At 40.3% G+C, this 21182-nt stretch overlaps 1 protein-coding gene across 1 annotated transcript in view, besides 6 other annotated features; it reads right to left on the reverse strand.

Annotated features, from left to right (window-relative positions):
• The window catches only part of SESTD1 (SEC14 and spectrin domain containing 1), a 163155-nt gene extending 149154 nt beyond the window's left edge, over positions 1-14001 (reverse strand). The window contains exon 1 of the mRNA NM_178123.5: positions 13668-14001. The gene's annotated coding sequence lies outside the window, so the exon portion shown is untranslated. The remainder of the gene's footprint in view (positions 1-13667) is intronic.
• Positions 12733-12802: an enhancer, noted in NCBI's record as "active region_16820". NCBI's record gives its function as "activates an Ori minimal core promoter by ATAC-STARR-seq in GM12878 lymphoblastoid cells {active_cell/tissue: GM12878}" and the evidence as "EXISTENCE:reporter gene assay evidence [ECO:0000049][PMID:35858748]".
• Positions 13131-13294: a silencer, noted in NCBI's record as "fragment chr2:180128689-180128852 (GRCh37/hg19 assembly coordinates)". NCBI's record gives its function as "represses an EF-1alpha promoter that drives an FKBP-Casp9 reporter gene in an ReSE screen in K562 erythroleukemia cells {active_cell/tissue: K562}" and the evidence as "EXISTENCE:reporter gene assay evidence [ECO:0000049][PMID:32094911]".
• Positions 13403-13472: a silencer, noted in NCBI's record as "silent region_12153". NCBI's record gives its function as "represses an Ori minimal core promoter by ATAC-STARR-seq in GM12878 lymphoblastoid cells {active_cell/tissue: GM12878}" and the evidence as "EXISTENCE:reporter gene assay evidence [ECO:0000049][PMID:35858748]".
• Positions 13483-14102: a silencer, noted in NCBI's record as "silent region_12154". NCBI's record gives its function as "represses an Ori minimal core promoter by ATAC-STARR-seq in GM12878 lymphoblastoid cells {active_cell/tissue: GM12878}" and the evidence as "EXISTENCE:reporter gene assay evidence [ECO:0000049][PMID:35858748]".
• Positions 17235-17736: an enhancer, noted in NCBI's record as "NANOG-H3K27ac hESC enhancer chr2:180132793-180133294 (GRCh37/hg19 assembly coordinates)". NCBI's record gives its function as "activates a minimal SCP1, AML or CMV promoter by ChIP-STARR-seq in naive H9 embryonic stem cells {active_cell/tissue: H9 hESC(naive)}" and the evidence as "EXISTENCE:reporter gene assay evidence [ECO:0000049][PMID:30033119]".
• Positions 17737-18240: an enhancer, noted in NCBI's record as "NANOG-H3K27ac hESC enhancer chr2:180133295-180133798 (GRCh37/hg19 assembly coordinates)". NCBI's record gives its function as "activates a minimal SCP1, AML or CMV promoter by ChIP-STARR-seq in naive H9 embryonic stem cells {active_cell/tissue: H9 hESC(naive)}" and the evidence as "EXISTENCE:reporter gene assay evidence [ECO:0000049][PMID:30033119]".

The following is a 21182-nucleotide window of genomic DNA, read 5'->3' on the forward strand; positions in this document are numbered from 1 at the left end:
TTAACAGTACAGACACTATGGGAGACAGTTTGGTAATCTCTTTAAAAACCTAAACATTCAACTACCATACATCTTGGCAACTGCACACTTAGGCATTCATTCCAGAGAAATGAAGACTCATGTTCACACAAAAACCTATACATGAACATTTACAGCAGCTTTACTCCTAAGAGTCAAAAGCTAGAAACAGCCTAGATATCCTTCAATGGGTGAATAAACTGTGGTACATCCATACCACAGAATACTACTCAGTAATTAAAAAGGAACTATGGAAACAGAGTAACCTGTGTATGAATCTCCAGTGAATTATGCTGAATTAAAAAAACCAATCCCAAAAATATATATACAATAAGATCCCATTTATATAGCACTCTTGAAATGACAAAACTATAGAAATTGGAGAATAATGGCTGCCAGGTATTAAGGAGGAAGCAGTGGGTGAGAAGGAACTGGGTGTGGCCACAGAAAGAAACTCTTTATATCTTGCTACACATGGGTGGGAAACTTACCCGAAACCTCTTTTGTACTTTCTAATATTTGAATGCTGTGTTCTAAAATAAAGTACAAGAATAACAATGGTCACATAGGGGTGGATGAAGATTTATTAGTTACCATATGTGGAATGATTAAGGAGGGCCAGGTTCTGTCTAATCCAGACCTGTCCTTGCTCCAACACCAGTGCTTCCAATCACCAGTCTATGCTCAATGTTTAAATGTCACCCAAAGCAACAACTGCAGTGTCCAGCATGATCCTGCACAAGAGATGCACTATAGACTGAATGTTTGTGTCCTCCCCCACAAAATCATACGTTAAAATTCTAACATCTAATGTGAAGGTATTAGGAGATGAAGCCTTTGGTAGGTGATTAGTTCATCAGGGCAGAGACCTAATCAATGAGATTAGTATCCTTATAAAAGAAATCTGGAGAGTTCCCTTGCCCTTTTTCCCATATGAAGACACAGCAAGAAGATGGTCAACTACAAACCAAGAAGCTGGCCCTCACCAGATACAAAATCTGCCGTGCTTGGATCCTAGATTTCCCAGCCTCCAAAACTGTAAGAAATAAATTTTTGTTGCTCATAAGCCACCCAGAATATGGTATTCTGTTATAGCACCCTGAATGGACTAAGACCAGATGTAAATTATAAAATTCTCTGTCCTATCAACATTCTTATTTCCACAGTATCTGATGTCAGCAAAGTATTACAGAGAAGAGCAATAATTTGCTTAAATGATTCACACTAAGGTATGAGTAACTGATAGGCTTAAATATTCTCTCAAGGTTCAAAAGCAGTTTAGCTCAAATGACATTTTAACAGAAACTGTTATGTTCAGAACAGAATTAAACTGTAGTCCAAGTGCTATCACCTGCTTAATTCAGAGGCCCTAATGCATCCACTCACTCTATTTCTAATCTTGGAGTTCTTAGGTATTTTGAAAGTAAATGGGATATAAATCCTAAATTATAAAGTAGTAGTGGCTTACGCCTCACCATAACTCAAGAAGCATTATCTGGTTAGCTGCCTGTCCTACTAGGAGAAATCTGTGGTATTGAGCTTTCATCTGGCTGTGAGTAAAGGTAATTCAAGATCTAGTAAAAACTATAAAAATCGCTGTTTGTCTTCTGAGCTGCCTGTAAGCTCTCTTTTCTCTTGTCTTAAGTTCTCTATAGTATCCTTCCTATCTGCTGCCTCAGGAGTCCACCATCTTCCACCTTCCTCTATCAAAACAGAAAAAGATTTAAACAAGGACTGAACTGTCTTTTTAAATGCTTGTCTTGCACTTCGAGGCAGCTAAGAGGTATTTTTACCTTTTGGTTTGACTTGGTTAAATTGAGGAAGTAGGGGCTTTGCTTTTTATTTTGCTGGGTCCACTAGAAAAATTGTTTTAGTACAGATACCACACCTGGGAGAATCTGGCCCAAAAAGTTAATAGGTGACTTGACCTCTCTTTTGTCCCTGCCACCTTTTAAACTTAATTATTCAGAACCCAAGACTCAAGCTGCAAAGATCCAGATGTTATTTTCATAGTGTCTCCTTTCCTCTCCTGGTTTGATACCCCTTTCTTTCTTTCAGTGTGGTGACCATTTTTGCATATCTTCCTCCCTTCCAACCCCCAGGAATCTGTTCTCCATCCCAAAGTTCATACAGCCTCCATCCTGTGAGAAGTAAATGAATTATAAAAGTCTGGGGAGAAGAGAGGCATAAAATACATAGGTGGCTAGGCTGACCTCACAGACTTCCAAACATAAAACTCAAACATGGGAAAAGAGCAAAGGACCACCACCACTACTACCCCCATCCAGCTGACAAAAAGTAAGGTTCAACACTTTTGTTTTTTAGTGTTTGTGTCTTAAAATAAATCACCAGTACTTCTTAAAACTATCATTTAAAACAAACAAACAAAAAAAAAACACCTCTGAGAAACTGTCAGAGGAGACTAAGGAGAAATGACAACTAAATGCAATCTTGTTTTCTAGATGGTTCCTGAAACAGAAAAGAACTTTAATGGAAACCCTGGTGATATCCAAAGCAAGTCTCCAGTTAACAGTAACATACTGATGCTGGTTTCTTAGTTTTGACAAATGAACCACAGTAGGATACTGTTAGTGGAAACTGAAACTGGGTGAGGTGTATATTGGGACGTTGTACTATTTGGCAACTGTTCTGCAAATCCAAAATTATTCTAAAACAAAAAGTATATTTAAAAATAGAAAAGATGAAAGCTTTTAATGTAATTTTCCAAGAAGTAAAAAAAGTAAGGTACAGAACACTATGTGATACAGAAGCAGCAATATAGGAATAGGTACTGAAGTATCGTTTGTATAAAAAGGATGGGAAATCATATGCATATATATAAAATATTTCTGAAAGAATACATAAGAATCTGATGACACTGACTTTGTGGAGGAGAGAACTCAGCAGCTGAGTAGGAATGAAAGGAAGAATTTGTAATGTGTCCTCTTACACCTTTTAAATTTTGAGGCCAGGCACAGTGGCTCACACCTGTAACCCCAGCACTTTAGAAGGCTGAAGCAAGCGGATCTGCTTGAGCTCAGGAGTTTGAGACCAGCCTGGGCAACATGGCATAAACCCTGAGTCTATAAAAAATACAAAAATTAACCAGGTGTGGTGGCATGCACCTATAGTCCCAGCTACTCAGGAGGCTGAGGCAGGAGGATCACCTGAGCCCAGAAGGTTGAGGCTGCAGAGAACCCTGACTGTACCACTGCACTTCAGCCTGGGTGGCAGAGTGAGACCTTGTCTCGAAAAAAAAATAAAATAATAAAAAATAAAATTTGAAACATATTAATGTATTATCTATTCAAAAAATAATTAACTTTTAAAATAAAAAGGATGACCAGGAACTGAACTAAGACAAAGACTATGGAAATAATGTAGAGGATTAATGAGAAAAAAAATTTAGGAGCTAAAAAAGAAAACCTAATCTACTCCATCTATCCATTAAGGCTTTCTACAACCCCTTCCTCACTTTTTCCACCAACCTCCTTTCTCCTTAACGCACTACAGACTTTTTATTCTAGCTGAACCAATCTGACTGCTAATTCCAAAGAGTCACCAGCCATTTTTCCTCAAATCCACATCTCTCCCTGCAAAACCTAACTTTAAACTTAAAAGCCACCCACCTATGTGCTATTTAGCATTCTGAATATTCTGTCTACACCAGGGACAGCAAATACAGGCACTAACGCCATCACTACTCCTACTCATAACAATAAACACTGCTCAATGATCACAGTATCCTTTCCCACTAATCCAGAAGCTGCGTCCAACTAACTTCTCAATGCAGTCTTCCAGGCAGTCTTCACTATCAATCAAAGCTAGCCCATGAAATAAAACCTACTTGCCATATCTAGTCCCCACTATATTAATCTGTTTGCCTCGATATATTTGCCATGAATTTTAGGTATATTTACATGCATATCTCACTTTAATACACTTTATTGTGCTTTGCAGATATTGTATTTTTCATAGATTGAAGGTTGGTGATAATCCTAAGTGGAGCAAGTTTGTCAGCTCATTTTTCCAACAGCATGTGTTCATTTTGTGTTTCTGTGTCACATTTTGGTAATTCTCACAACATTTCAAGCTTTTTCATTATTATTATATCTGTTATGGTGATCTGTGATCAGTGATCTTTGATGTTACTACTGTAATTGTTTGGGGGCACCATGAATCAAACCCATATAAGATGGCGAACTTAATCAATACATATTGTGTGTATTCTGACTGCTCCGCTGACTGGGGCTTCTCCTGTCTCTCTCCTTCTCCTCAGGCCTCTCTATCCCAGGAGACACAATAATACTGAAATTAGGCCAATCAATAATCCTACAATGGCCTCTAAATATTAAAGTGAAAGGAGGAGTCACATTTCTCACTTTAAATGAAAAGCTAGAAATGATTAAGCTTACTCAGGAAGGTATGTCTAAAGACAACAGAGGTCAAAAGCTAGGTCTCTTGTGACAGTTAGTCAAGCTGTAAATGCAAAGGAAAAGTTATTGAAGGAAAGTAAAAGTGCCACTCCAGAAAACATACGAATGATAAGAAAGTGAAACAGCCACATTGTTAATATGGAGAAAGGTCCAGTGGTCTGGATAGAAGACCAAACCAGCCATAACATTCCCTTAAGCCAAAGCCTAATTCAGAGCAAGACACTAGTTCTAGTCCATTCTATGAAGGCTGAGAGGTGAGGAAGCTCCAGAAGGCAAGTTTGAAGCTAGTAGGAGTTGGTTCATGAGGTTTAACGAAAGAAGCCATCTCCATAACATAAATGTGCAAGATGAAGCAGCAAGTGCTGATGTAGAAGCTGCAGTATGTTATCAAAAAAATCTAGCTAAGATAATTGATGAAGGTGGCTACATTAAACAACAGATTTTCAATGTAGATGAAACAGCCTTCTATTAGACAAAGATGTCATCTAGGACTTTCATAGCAAGAGAGAAGTAAATGGCTTCAAAATTTCAAAGGACAGGCTAACTCTCTTGTTAGGGGCTAATGCAGCTGGTGACCTTAAGTGAAAGCCGATGCTCGTTTACCATTCTGAACTGACTGAAATCTACTCAGTCTGTTCTCTATAAATGGAATAACAAAGCCTGGATAACAGCATATGTGCTTACAGCATGGTTTACTGAATCTTTTAAGCCTACTATTAAGACCTGCTGCTCAGACAAAAAAAAAAAAAGATTCCTTTCAAAATATTGCTGCTCATTGGCAATGCACCTGGTCATCCAAGAACTCTGATGGAGATGTACAAGGAGATTAATGTTTCCATACCTGCTGACACAAAAGTCATTCTGTAGCCCACAGATCAAGGAGTAAGTTTGACTTTCAAGTCTTATTATTTTAGAAATACATTTCAAAGGCTATAGCTGCCATAGATAGTGATTTCTCTGATGGATTTGGGCAAAGTAAATTGAGAACATTCTAGAAAAGATTCATCAATCTAGACTCCATTAAGAACATTTGTGATTCATGGGAGGAGGTCAAAATATACTGACATGAATAGGAGTTTGGAAGAAGTTGATCCCAACTTCCATAGATAACTTTAAGGGGTTCAAAATTTCAGTGTAGGAAGTAACTGCAGATGTGGTAGAAATAACAACAGAACTAGAATTAGAAGTGGAGCCTGAAGATGTGACTGAATTGCTGCAATCTCAAGATAAAACTTTAACAGATGGGGCCGGGCACGGTGTCTTACGCCTGTAATCCCAGCACTTTGGGAGGCCAAGGCAGGCAGATCACGAGGTCAGGAGATCGAGACCAACCTGGCTAACACGGTGAAACCCCATCTCTACTCAAAATACAAAAAATGAGCCGGGCATGGTGGCAGGAGCCTGTAGTCCCAGCTACTCGGGAAGCTGAGACAGGAGAATCACTTGAACCCGGGAGGCAGAGGTTGCAGTGAGCTGAGATCCTGCCACTGAACTCCAGCCTAGGCGACAGAGCGAGACTCCACCTCAAAAAAAAAAAAAAAAAAACTGACAGATGAGCAGTCACTTCTTACAGAGGAGCAAAGCAAGTAGTTTCTTGAGATGGAATCTACTCCTAGTGAACGTGCCATAAACATTGTTCAAATGACAACAAAGGATTTAGAATGTTACATAAACTTAGTTGATAAAGCAGTGGCAGGGTTTGAGAGGACTGACTCAAATTGTGAAAGTTCTACTATGGCTCAAACGCTACCACCCAGCATCTCATGCCACAGAGAAATCTTTCATGAGAAGAAGAGTCCATCAATGTGGCATACTTCACTGGTGGGTTGTTGTTTTTTTTTCAATTTTATTTAAAATCAGGACACATCTCATTCTATGTCATAGAATGAGGGAGTCTATCTTGAACCTATTCTGGTTCAGGGGGCTGCCCTTATGAAAAAAAAAGAAAAAGGCAAGAAAGTAATTACCATAGCTACCCCAAACTTCAAGCAACAACCATCCTGATCAGTAGCTATAAACACTAAGGTAAGACCTTCCACCAGCAAAAAGATTACAACTCACTTAGGCTCAGAGGATCCGTAGCACTGTTAAGCAATAAAGTATTTTTAAATGAAGATATACGTAGATCATTTTTTAGACATAATTCTATCACACATTTTGTAAACTACAGTGTGAACATAACTTTTATATGCACTGAGAAACAGAAAATCGTGTGACTTGCTTTATTGAGATATTTGCTTTACTGTGGTGGTCTGAAACTGAACTGGCAATATCTTAGAGGTATGCCTACATTTGTATATACCCCATTTTGTTCTGCAAAGGATTAAAGACACAATAAATGAACTATAACAAGTTAACAAACTAAAGATAAAGGCAAAGAATAGAGAAAAGAACCAAAAATGGTGCCAAGAAAAAGGCTAAAAATTGTATAATATAAAAACCTATTTACGGTATGGAGTGGGCCACAAATCTAGTTCTGGCTTTCTAGTAGCCATAACAAAAAGGAAAACCCAGGCAATCTAAGAGATACACAGAGAAGTACTCAGAAGGGGAGCTACCTTGGTAGTTAAACCAAACAGTAATTTCGTATAGCAAAAAGAACCCCATAGAATGATCAAAATATAGGAGACACATAACCACCAGTCTTCAAAGGGTTAGATGTTTCTCATATTGTCCCTCAGGAGAGACCTATGACACCTTACCAAAGCCCAATGTGGCAAAATTGATTTTACAAAGACAAGACACAAGCTTTAAGAGCTCTTTATTCTTTTACTCAGTTTCTTCCTTCATTGCCTCCCTAATCAGATTATAAACTCCTTGAAAACAGAACCATGTTTTCTAATTCTTATATATAGCTCCAAAGTATTTTGTATTCTGCAGAAAAGATGCAACGTCAGTGAGAATTTACACAGTGCAATTCAAGACTTTTCTGATAAAAATTATCTAACCTAAACTCAGTAATTCCCACTTCTACTACAAAAACATGCTAACTGAAGCCCCAATAGATAGAATTCCTAAACTTTCTAAACTATTACTGAATCACAATTCATGACCTCTCAAAAGCATTTTGTTTCATACATCCCTAGCACAAAGCATGCAAGGATACCAAATCAATATCACTGAACCTGATCAAATAAAATGAAACTCATAAGCAAAAGCTCTGGCAATACCCACTAAAGGAAAGACAATATTACTATCTTTCAAGAATATAATCAATAGGTCTTTACAAACCAATTGACAAAGGCAGGTTCATTTTCTAAATGATTCTGCAAATCTACTAGAAGGCAATTAAATTATAACGCAGATTACTTCTTTCCAAGAATGTGCAGTTTCTGCATATGCCAAGCTGCTGAAGAACTGTACTTCTCAGCTCTCACACACACATGCACACGCACGTGCATGCATGCACACACACACACACCACTATCAAACCAGCTCTGACCACTAACTTACAATTTACTTCTGTGCTTTACCTGGTCAAACTGAAAATGAAATTAGGAGTAGGTAATAAATTATTTAGATAAGGTGATTATGGGAAAATGAAGTATCATCTTAAATTACTACTCTTAAGCACTGGCATTGGGACACATTAACAATCCTCTATTTGTATTTTATTAATGGAAGTCATTAATAAATAAGTAGTCTCATCCAACACTGGCTTAGTTCATTCATACACTTAGTATTTCAGTTTATAGTAGGTTCCCCCCTTGGTATTCCCTGTACATAGGGGCATGCCCTATCATCCCAGGAGTGAATACTTGTAATGAGCCAAAGAATATTCCCAGGACTGGGGGAGTCCACCAAGTAGACCTTGGAAAATCCAATTCCTGCACCTTTGTTTCTTTATCTATTAGAAAGGGAAATGGAAATCATCTCTATCTGATAGGATTATTGGAAAGATTAAATGAGATAAGGTTGTAAAGTGCCTAGTGTTAGTTCTCTAGCTTTTTGTTTGTTTGTTTTTGAGACAGAGTCTCACTCTGTCGCCCAGGCTGGAGTGCAGTGGCGCGATCTCGGCTCACTGCAACCTCCACCTCCCGGGTTCAAGCAATTCTCTGCCTCAGCCTCCTGAGTAGCTGGGATTACAGGTGCCCCCACGACACCCGACTAATTTTTGTATTTTTAGTAGAGACGGGGTTTCACCATCTTGGCCAGGCTGGTCTTGAACTCCTGACCTCGTGATCCACCTGCCTCAGCCTCTCAAAGTGCTGGGATTACAGGTGTGAGCCACCGCACCCAGCCTTAGTTCTCTAGCTTTTTTATAGGTAAGGAAAACAGAAGGATCTAAGCACTTAGGCGACTCATCCACAGCCAATGGCTAATAAACATAGGACAGAACAAAACTTCTGACTTAGGGCTTAATGTTCTTTCCACCTCACCAAGCAGCCTTAAATTAATAGAACTCAACATCTCAGGTTTGTCACTGTTGGGTATTCACTACATGCAAAGAAAAAAAAAATTGACTATTTTGAACATCTATTACATGCTAGAAACTAATGTCTTTCTTCATAACTGCCCTATAAGTGTTATCTCATGTTACTAAGAAATTAACTTGTCCACAGTCACAAGGCTAACAAGTGACAACACAAGATTCATCCAGATCTGTTTAGTCAATGATTTTACCTACCATCCTTCTTAAAGAGTGTATTTAGATACCATTGTCTACCAGAATCAAATCCCAAATGGCCTGTGAATTTTTATAGATACTTGTGATTTATTAGTGGAAACTGTCCCTAGCTCCACCATCCTATCTACTTAAAAATTTGTTCCTATTAGGTTAAAACATAATTATAATAACTGTAGTAACAAATTTACATTTGTATAGCATGTTACAGTTCATTACATTTTTTTCATTTTTGTTAGATGCAACTACTGAGCCTTTTCATATATTAGCTCACATATCATTTAATATTTCAAGACTCTTATGAGGTAGGAGTTATTGTCATTTGACAAATAAGAAAACGGGCCAGGTGCAATGGCTCATGTTAAGAAGGCCAACGTAGGCAGATTGCTTGAGCTCAGGAGTTTGAGACCAGCCTTGGCAACATTGAGAAACTTCATCTCTACAAAAAATGCAAAAATTAGCTGGGCATGGTGGCACATGCCTGTACTCTCAGCCACCTGGGAGGCTGAGGTGGGTGAATGACTTGAGCCCAGGCAGTTGAGGTTGCAGTGAGGTGTGATCACACCACTGCACTTCAGCCTGGGCCACAGAGTGAGACCCTGTCTCAAAAGAAAAAAAAAAATTAGAAAGGTCATCTCAGATCTCTCTCTGCCCCCACAGTTGTCAGATGATTTCTAGTAAACGTTTAAAGGGCAGATATTTTAAACTGTTCCAGAGCACAGAAAAAAGTGAAAAGTTTCCTAATCATTCTTAATCCTGACTTCATCTTGACACCGAAGCCAGGCATGGATAGCAAACTTAAATGAAAACATAATATTAGATTTATCCTTTGTAATTACAGATGGAAAAGTTTAACATATTTAAGTGAAAAACAAAGGAATATGTGTAGTATAATCCCATTTGTAAAAGAAAAAACATTATGAAAAGAAACATGTCTGTATGTATGGTAAAATATGGAAATGTGTATTTATAGATAAATACACACATAAATGCAAAGATACAGGTTTGGAAATATAAACCTCAAACTGTCAACAGCAGTTTCTCCAAGATGGAAGTGGTCTTAGGAGTGAAGAAGGGGAAAAAGACAAAAAGTGAAGGGAGATTTTCAGCTTTTACTCTCTCTATATATATACACATACATACTATTCAAATTCTGAAACAGTGGGTTCTAGGATCGGCTATGCTATTAAGAAGCTGTTACTAGGTTGAATCACTCTGACTCTGTTTCCCCATTGGAAATGTGGAAAGCAGACCTACCTTATTATGACAGAAGAAAAGGAATTTATTTGAAAATGCGTAATAAAATCTGATGAATATGTGGCAGTGTTGCCACAACACCTTATGGTTTGTTATTGTTTGGTTTGATTTTTTTTATTTTTCCCTCACTTTGTCACTAATCAACCAGACATTCACAAACACAATTTAATTTCTGTATGCCTCATTGAGTGCAGGAAGTAGAGTCAGAAGACCTGAGTTTACACTCAGACCTTGCCTCTTATTAACTGTAAGGTTAAAAAAACAAGCAAATGATTAAACAACTTTGCACTTTAGTTTCCTGGCAGTAAAATAGGAATAAACCTACCTTACAGCATCATTTAAAACATTAAATGAGAAAATTATATACAAATGGCCAATAAAAACATGATAAGATGAAATACAAATGAAAATCACAATGCGATATCACTTCACAGCCACTAGGATGGCTATCATCAAAAAGACAAACATTAACAAGTGTTGGCAAGGATGTGGAGAAAATGGAACCCTCATTGCTACATTGCTATAACCCTACATTGCTAGAAGGAATGTAACCCTTCTAGCAATGTAGAAGGGTTACCCTAGAAAATGGAACCCTACATTGCTAGAAGGAATGTAAAACAGTGCAGCAGCTATGGAAAACAGTCAAGCAGTTCCTCAGAAAGTAAACAGAATTACCATATAACCCAGCAATTACACATCTAGGTATACATCCAAGAAAATTGAAAGCATATATACCATACAAAAACTTGTAAATGAGTATCCACAACATTATTTATTATGGCCAAAAAGTAGAAACAACCCAAATGCCCATCAGTTGAAGATTGGATAAACAAAATGTGGCATAGCCATATAACAAAATAATATTCTGCCATAAAAGGAATGAAATATTGATACATGGTATAATATGAATAAACCCTGAAAGCATTATGTTAAGTGAAAGACACTAAAGGCCACATATTATGATTCTATTCACATGCAATGTCCAAAATAGGCAAATCCATAGAGACATAAAGTAAATTAGTGGTTGTCAAATATGGGGAAGGGGGAATAGTAACAAAAGCTACCAGGTACAAGGTTCTTTTTAGGGTAATAACGTTCTTGGATTAGTGCCGACATTTGCATAATTTTGTGAATATATTAAAACTACTGAATTGCATACTTTAAAAAAGTGAATTCTATGGCATATGAATTATATCTCAAAGAAAACTATTATAAAAATTTAAGTCTCTGCTTTTTTTTCTTTTGAGACAAAGTCTGGCTGTCACCCAGGATGGAATGCAGTGGTCCAATCATGGCTCACTTCTCTGCTTGCTACTTTTTATTAGTAAATATTCTACTTTCCTCAAGAGGTTGCTCATGTTGCTTGTAACAGCTTTAAAAGATCTTTGAAGTTAGCTACTATACAGATGAATGGTATTTTTAGTAAAGTAAAACTACTATAACAGAGAAACTTTCTAAAAATCGGATTAGTTTGGTACAATTTCATTTTTTCAAAAGAAATGTCATTAATACCAAGTTCATTTTTAGAGAGTGGAAAAGCTTCAACAAGTCCTTATAAAAATACATTTTTTAAAAAGGTCAAAATGCAATACTTTGTTTTCTTAATTATTGGACATTTCATTTTCAGATATATCATTAGTAGATTACCTGTTTAAAATGTCATTAAATGCCTAGCAATGAATTAAAACCCAAGTAGATGCAACTTTGTGACCTCTACTTACAACTTTCTACATTCTGCATTCTGTTGTCAGATTCCTAGTCCATCACTAGCTCCTAATCTCTTACATCAATTATTCCATTCAATTCTTATTCACAGGGGCTAAAATGTTTGGTAAATGCAATCAATTCATTTTTCTAATGCTGGGGAAAAACTAGAGTGGGCCCAATTTTTAAGGTTAAATTTAGTCCAGAATGTTTGAATAAATATTCAACAAAACGATTTCCTGGAATTTGGAACATAAAAACAGCCTATAGAGTTGTGAAATGCTTTCTAGGTCCTTGGGGAATTTTTTCACGTATTTAGTCATGGGGCAAAGTATTACGTATAAAAGCTTCCTGGTCCTAGAACAAAGACGTATTTTACTGCTCAAAGCTAAAGGAATTAGTATTGTTAAACTAAAATAGCATACCAATGAAACCAGCTAGGTATTGGCATAACTTAACCAAGGTATGTAACCAAAGATAAATTGTACCTTATTATGCATTCTTCCTTGGGAGGAAAAATTCTCACATTAATAAGATTTAGCCAGCCAAAACAGAAAAAGTATATAGATATATGTGTGTCTGTGTATGTAGGTATGTATAAGGATTAGGATTTTGAGTGGCAATTTAAATTTGACGGTTTGCCAAGCTATGCTGGGATACATAGTGGGCATGCTTGACACAAGCAAAACGTGAAGTAAGAGACGACCTGTCAAACAGCTGCTATCTAGTTACTCCCTCGGCAGCACTCCCAACTTCTCCCGCGATGTCTGTGTGTAAGAGAAAGATGTCAAAGCACCAAGAAAACCACGGGGGCTGTCAGAGCAACAGCCAAGTCCAAACCGTGCATCCCAGGGTGAAATCCCACCCGTACCCTCAAGAGCTGGTCAGACTGCGGCTCTTTTCTAATATGAGTCTACCTAAAATAGAAAAATAAACACAACCACAGACCCTGGCCAACCCTCTCTCTCCTCCCCTTTGTGACTCTCCCAAACGCTGGAGGGATGTTAACCTCTGGCAGGCCCGTGGAAGCCAAGCCCCGCGACCTGAGGAGGCGTCCAGGAGCCTCGGCGCAGCCCTGGGGCCTCGAGCCCGTGTCCTCCACCCACCCGACAGGGCCGGTCACCGGTCACACAAAGGAGCCAGTCGCGGGCGCTGGACGCGGGACTCGCCCGAGAGCAGGGAGCCACATCTGGTTCCTGCACGCTGGCAAAAGAGACCCGCTGGAAAATAAGGACTAACGCCCAAACCTGTTGCACAATTCGGGTCCCTTTCACCCAGAAATGAACAAGGGCGCTCAGGAACGGAAAAGCGCGCGGCCCGGTCTCTGCGGGCCGCGGCCGCACCCGGCAGACGGCGCGGAGGCAAAGGCGGCCCGCAGGGCTCCCACCTCCGGCGCTTTGTCTGTGGCGGCAAGGCGGTGGGGGCGGTCGGGGCGTTGGGAGCAGAGGCGGTGGCGGGGCGGGGGCGCCCCTCCTTCACTGCGTAGCCCCTCCGCCCCGCGGCCCGCGCAGGGGAAGAAAGCCGGGCCCGCTACCGCCGCCGCCGCCGACTGCACCGGCCCAAGCCGGCCACCCGGCCGCGGGGCCTGCGCGCTTCTCCCGCCCGGGCCGAGCGGCGGCCACACTCACCTGGCTGGCGCTGACGCTAGCGGCCGGCGGCTCCGGGGCGTTGGGGAAGACAGGGGAACGCTAGCGAGGTGCGGGCGGAGGCGGAGGGCGCGGCGGGAGGAAGGCGGGCTGGGGGCGGAGCGGGCCCGGGCGGCGGCGGCAGCAGCGGCGACGGCTGCGGCTCCAGTCACTCGCGGCAAATCGCGTCCCGGCCCCTCCGTGCGTCAGGCGGGGAGCGGGGGTGCGGGTGGCCCGGCGACCTCTCGGCACCCGCGGCCCGAGCCGCGTCCGCGCGACCCCGCGCGCGCCCGGGTGACGGCGGTACAGCAACCCGCCCGGCGCGGGAAGGAGGAAGGAGGCGGGGCGGGGCGGGGCGTCCAACCGGGCCTGGGGCTGAGGGCTGGGCGCGAGTGGGACTCTGGCGCTCCGGACGGACCCTGCCGTCCCCACCCCTAGCCGAGGCCCAGGCTCCCCAGGCGGGAGGCAGTCTTGGAGAGTGGAAGGGTACCTAGATCTGGAGTCAGAAGTCTGGGCTTAAGAGAGGGTCCGTTACTTGACACCCTGGCAGGTCATTTATTTCCTCTGGCCTCATGCTGGAGTTCGAAGGTTCGAGTACAAAGTCTCCAAGAGCTGCTCCCAAGTACTCACTGCCAAGCGGTGGTGTGGCTGAAGGATGAAGGCAGATGAAAGGGAAAGGGTTGCGGTGAGGAAGGGCTGGATTCAGGGCATTTGTTTTGCTTTGAGGATCTTTCCACTGGACAGTCCAAAATTAATCCACAATGGGGCTCCCTGATAATGGCTACTTCCCCATTTTTACCAACCTAGTTATTTTTCTCCAAGTATACTGACTTAAGAGTCCTTGTTTTCATTTTATTGCGCAAATCATTTGTATGTCATTTCCTGAATTCAGTTCAAAAGAGTCATCAGCAAATTCACACCAGATCAGAGCAGCTGTGTGGTCCCAATTTCAAGACTTCCATATTATTCACTCAGCCACTCACTTCAGTATCACCTAATTCCGTTGATAAAATCTTCCTATTCCAACAACTAAGCAACCAAATTTCTCTCCACTAAAGTTTTCTGACTTAAAATCCCGTGGATTAATTCTTCCTCTTAATTCTGTGAATATCAGTCTGTCTCCATGACTTCCACCTCTTTGCCACTCTAGGTCAAGCCTTTAACTTCACTGCTGCTTCAGTTCCATATAACTGCCAGAGAGAATGCTCCAAAAAGACAGAGCTAAGCATGAAACGTCCCTCTTTAAAATCATTCAAAGTCTCTCCACCTGGTTGAATCAGGTTCAAACTCATTACCATGGTTTACAAAGCCATTTAAAATCTGATCTATTGACCTCCTTGGCTCCAGCTTCAACTCCTAATATATCTACGTATCACACAAATTCAACAGACTTTGTCTTTGTGCCCTTGTAGTTTTCCCCCACCTGAAATCCATCCCTCATTTAACCAGTTGAACTCCTATTGTCCTTCAAGATAATGAAGATAATGCATCCCTTCCTCCTTGGAATCTTCCCTGACATCATCTCCTTTCACCACATCTGTATCCTTACCCCACACATTTACAATGAATTAAATACTCTTTTTCTCTCTGCTTTCATAAAATCGTCTATCTACAGTATTCCCTATGATAATCTTTAATACTTGCTTTTTTCCTGTTGCTTTGCTTGGTGGCCTTTTCTTCCTAGACTGTGTGTTCCTTAAAAGGACAGGGATTTTGTCTAGTTCATTTTTTTTGCTCCCCAGAACATAGCACAGTGCTCAGCACAAAAAAGGTTCTCTTTAACTGTTTGCTGAAGCGTTGAAATAATTTTCCATCCCAACAAATAGATGTTGAGCATCTACTCAACGAAAAGAAAATACAGGGAAGTCCACAGTCCCAGCCTTTTTTAGCCTTCCGTGGTATTCTGTTTTTCCCTTCTCTACTATGTGGCATTCTCTGCTTATCATTTTAAACTCTCTCCAACTACCATTCACATTCTTTGCTTATCCTAGTAAAACAAGAGCATGCCAAGCAATCCATTATAATAATTCACAAAATATCCCTGCCCTTCCTCTTTACATACTTCTGGTTCCACATTGTATTACCTAGGTGTTAGATAAGAGGTAACTGCTATAATGGAAAAAACATTAAACTATAAATTCAGAGAATGAAATTTGGATGCTACGTTTTCCAATAACTACTGAATGAACTTAGCTCAATCACTTATAGTCATGAGGCTTTACTTCTGGAGTTTCTTTGGCTCTATGATTAGCATTTGTTTTTAATATTTTATTATAAAAGTAAATATATATATGCTAGATCCTTGCAATGTAGCTATCCAGCATATGTTTGAACTCCAAGTGATAGGAAACCATTCATGACCTCACAACAGTTTTCATTTTTAAACAGTCCTGCTAGTTTCTATGTTCAACTAAAATCTGTCTCTGTATACATTTGGTAAGTAGCTACAGTATTGGTAGAAACACCACTGGACTTAGACTCCAAAGAAGTTGGTCAAATCCTGGGCTTATAACTTCCTAATTGTGTGACCTTAGAAAAGCACAAAACTGCTCCAAGTATGAGTTTGCTCCATTCTAAAAGGAGAAAATGATAATAATAGCACCTTAAATCATTATTGTAAATATGAATGCAATGCGTATGAATGTGTCCAGTGAGTCTGAACCTAGTACTAACATTGTTTAATACAGAACAGCATGGTTCCCCCCCATATGCAGCCTTGTAAACATTTGAAGTCAGCAGTCACAATGTGTGCCTTCTCCACCCACTTTTTATTCACATCTCATTCGTCTCCATACGCATTTATCTAAACATTCTCCAGTGTCTCTTAAAATGTGGCACCTAGAACTGAATACAATATTCCAAGTATAAAGGAAGGAGTAGAGGAGTACAATTTTCTGCATCCTAATGAAGATATTTCAAAATTCAGTTTGATATCACATTATTTTTCTACCACCCCATACCGTTCATAAATATCATGTTATTGCCAACTAAAAACAAGCAAAAATTACCCCCAAATCTTTTTTAAGTCTTTAACATATATACAGCTATAAAACCATATCTTCTCCAACCTGTATTTTGCAATTTGTTTTTGGAAACTGTGCAGATCTTTGCATTTATTCCTCTTAAATATCACTTTGGAAGTTATGTACAGAAGCCCCTGCCAACTAGAAATCAATGTGAAGTGAGAGTAACATTTTAAAAACATTAAAGGGTGGAGAAAAAGAATCCAAAGCCACCTCAAGCAACAAGTTTCTAAATTCTTAATTTCTCCTCTACTACTTCTTTTAGATTTATTAATTATTATTATTATTATTATTAATTATTTTAGAGGGAGTCTCACCGTGTCGCCCAGACTGGAGTGCAGCAGCACGATCTTGGCCCACTGCAACATCCACCTCCCAGGTTCAAACCATCCTCCTGCCTCAGCCTCCCTACTAGTTGGGACTACAAGCATGTGCCACCTTGCCCAGCTAATTTTTGTATTTTTAGTAGAGACGGGGTTTCACCATGTTGGCCAGGCTGGTATCGAACTCTTGACCTTGTGATCCACCCACCTCAGCCTCTCAAAGTGCTAGGATTACAGGCATGAACAACCGCACCTGGCCTAATTTATTTATTTTTAAGAGATGAGGTCTTCCTGTATTGACAAGGCTGGTCTCAAACACGAGGCCTCAAGCGATTCTCCCACCTTAGCCTCCCGAGTAGCTGGAACTACGGGAGTGAGCTACCATACCAGCAAGCTTTTTTTTTTTAAGCCACATTTGAATGTCATCTAAAATTAGATAACTTCCCATACTCATCTTGTTTTATTTATATCATAAATTAATAGTGAAAATGCCTTCTATGAGTGTGTTCCATACATTGTTTGCTTGAACCACTGAAGAATTCTCAGTCTGTCTCAAACTGGTATTGTTACTGCCAATTTCCTGAAACTCAGCTCGGTTAGGTAATTTGCTACACAGTCATCCTGCACCAAAGTTGGCTTGGAGAAACTGCCCCTCCTCCAGCCCTTGCTGAAGGGTGGCCCCAGGCAATATACTCTTTTGTGTTGTCTGTGTAATCCCTGAATCACTGTTGATTGCCCCTGGGTGGGCACTGACCTAGACACAGGCAAGTCATACTCATTCAAAAAATGACCTGGGGGGAAAAAAATCAGTCCAAAAAAAAAAAAACCCTGATCCAATCAGGCAATCAATTGAGGAAGCTGAAATCCAGAAGGACTCACAGAGGGTGTTCATGGGCAGGAAGGGCCCTGGCAGATCACCAGTAAGCAGAAGCTAATGTCTACCAAACAATGACTGAGCAGAAAATATCCATTCATATATTCATTCAACAAGTATTGATTAAGCATCTCCTGTGATTTAGGTGCTGGGGATAGAGTTGGGACAAAATACACAAAAATTCTGCCTCATGAATCTTGCATTCTGGTGGGTGGGACAGGCAATAAACACAAAATAAGTAAATTAAATCGTGTATTAGGTGATAAGTGCTGGATAAAAATAATGCAGGGAAGGGGACTAGAGAGTGCTGGGGTTTGGGGTGCAATTTTTACTATCAGAGAAGGCCTTGCTAAGAAGGTGAAGTCACAGATAAGGCTTGAAGGATCCAAGGTAGTGAGGCTGTGAAAAAAAGGTAGGGGAGAAGCTGAGGGAGCCAGATAGTGGCCGGGTCATCACGCAGCAGGCACCAGGATAAGGAGCCACAACATCAAACTATACACAGAGCAGGACATTGACAATCTAGCTGGGAGCTTTTCCCCCGGTCAACTAGACCAGAAACTTTGTAGATGGGACCTCAAAAGTCTGTATTTTCAAACACTCCTGAGATGATTAGGACATTCCACCAGGATGAGAATCCCTGCTCTTAAAAAAAGACTGCAAACTCTCACTGATGCCTTGGGTTCTGAACACCCGTTAAATTCTGTCTTCCAGAATGCACAATTTAATTTGCATTCCTCTCCTCTTAGGGTCTATATTAGTCCATTCTCACACTGCTATATAGATAATACCTGAGACTGGGTAATTTATAAACAAAGGAGGTTTAATTGACTCACAGTTCCACATGGCTGTGGTGGTCTCAGGAAACTTATAATCGCAGGGGAAGGGGAAGCAGCCACGTCTTACATGGTGTCAGGCAAGAGAAGAGTGAGCGTGTGTGAGTGCAGGAAAACCTACCATTTATAAAACCATCAAATCTCATGAGCATTCACTCACTATCACAAGAACAGCATGGGGGAAACCACGCCCATAATCCAATCACTTCACTCCCTCAACATGTGGGGATTACAATTCCAGATGAGATTTGGGTGGGGACACAGAGCCAAACTATATCAGGGTCTTTGATTGTTCAACTTTTCTGTTGTTCATGGAACACTTGATTTCATGGCTGAGATTTCATAGGTATTCTTTATAAACTAAATGAAAAGAAACCAACACCCTAATCCCCAAAGTAACATGGTTGAGTTCTATATCTTGCAACCGCAATCACCTAACATACCAAAGTCACAAAGCCTTGAGATGGTGATGCCAAAACTGTAGCATCCCATAACTCATATCTTTAGGGGCAAAACTGAAATTTGGGGCTATCTCTTTAACACTTCAAAATAAATTTTTGAAAATTGTTGACATATTATATAAAGGTATATAACATTTATTTTAATAATGTACATTTAATTAATCTGAGTGTCCAATTTATCAGTTTTGACTGGTTTGACATTTTAATTCCCAGCTCAAAATTTCTCTCTTTCACTGAGGCCGTTAAAAAGATCTTATGTTTCCTAAAAAAAAAAAAAAACTTTCATGATTCTGAAATTATACAAATGATATTTTTAAGTATTTTTGTTTAGTTTTAGTCTCCTGTTAGTTCATTATCTAGGCCAGTGTATTCTGAATCCTTTAGGTCAGCCGTCCCCAACCTTATTGGCTCCAGGGACCAGATTCATGGAAGACAATTTTTTTCCATGGGATGAGGGGATGGGGGATGGTTGTGAGATGAAACTGTTCCACCTCATATCATCAGGCACTAGATTCCCGTTGGAGTGTGCAACCTAGATCGCTCGCATGTGCAGTTCACAATAGGGTTCGTGCTCCTCTGAGAATCTGATGCCACCACTGATCTGACCAGAGGCAGAGCTCAGGGGGTAATGCTTGCTGGCCAGCCACTCACCTCCTGCTGTGCACCCGGTTCCTAACAAGCCACGGACCAGTACCTGTCCACAGCCCAGGGGTTGGGAACCCTTGCTTTAGGCAATAGAACCTTTTCTAAGACCAAGAGAGTTTGCATTCACTTGGGTCAGGTGGCTTTCTTCCCCCCGATCACACTTTCAAGAAATGTTTTTGGTAAACTGTCCAAAGGGAAAAATAAAGAGCAGTGTTTGATCTTTTTTGTAAAATCAGCAAAACTTTTTTTTAACAAAACTGATTTTCTTTTCTAGTTGTAAAATTAGGATCTTAAAACTGGAAGACACCCATCTATTTCATCCTCTTCTCCCTGAGACTCAGAGAAGTTAAGCAAGATACCCAGCCCTAGAGTTAGTTAACAAAATATCAAACACTATAATTCAGGCCTCTTGACTACTTGTTGATATAAGCCTTGGAAAATATTAGAATATTTGCAGTATTATCTGTATGTGTGTGGTACATAGATGTGGTGCATAATTTAGGCAAAATACAAGTTTATGTCTTAAGCATTAAATGTGCTTTAAAAGTATTGTGAATTATAGAAAATAAAATAGCATTTCAGACAAGGGAAAAGCTTCTAATTTCAGTGATCAATTTACTGTCACTCTTAATTAATATGAACGTTGTGAGAGAGGTCAACAAAGGAGGCCAAGTGAAAAGCAAATTGTTCAGGCAAATCATTTTAAATGCTCCTGGCAATATACAATATATTACATAATGGAATACAGTAAACAGGCTATGCCAATTTTTATAGTTCTCTTCAATCAATTTTTTTTTCCATAAGAACCCTTAAATGCTACAATATATGCTCAAATGAGCGTTCCTGAGTCAGAACTCTTTGGTTGCAAGTGCCAAAGCCAGTTTGAACTGGATTGAGGTGGAGGTATGATGGCTTTTCTGGATTAATACTGAGGTAACTCAGAGCATTGAGGAAGAATTGCATTTCTGGGGACCTCAGAGACCAGCATCAGAGGACCTAGCAAAGTTAGCATCTTTCTTTTTGCCCCTTCTATCAAATCCATTCCTCTCGGACTTGTCTTCAATCTGTCCAACAGGAAATCAGTCTGTTTTAGACTACAAGGAGCAGAGGCCCAAATAGCACTGGCTGTACATACATCCCCCAGCTTGAATAGCTCATGCAGAAAAATATCAGGAATGGCTGATATTTAGTGTCAGGTGAAATTTCAAACACTGTGGCCAGTAGAACAAGATTGGCCTGGCATGTGGGGAGCTGGGTATCCTAACTGGCAGCTCTAATCTTGGGAGAAAGTTTATCCCAAAGAAGATGGGGCATTACCAAAGAAGGAGAGAAAGGGATACCAGGTAGATAAAAAAAAAA

The sequence above is a fragment of the Homo sapiens genome, chromosome 2 (genome assembly GCF_000001405.40).
Source record: "Homo sapiens chromosome 2, GRCh38.p14 Primary Assembly".
In the NCBI taxonomy this organism is placed as follows: Eukaryota; Metazoa; Chordata; class Mammalia; order Primates; family Hominidae; genus Homo; species Homo sapiens.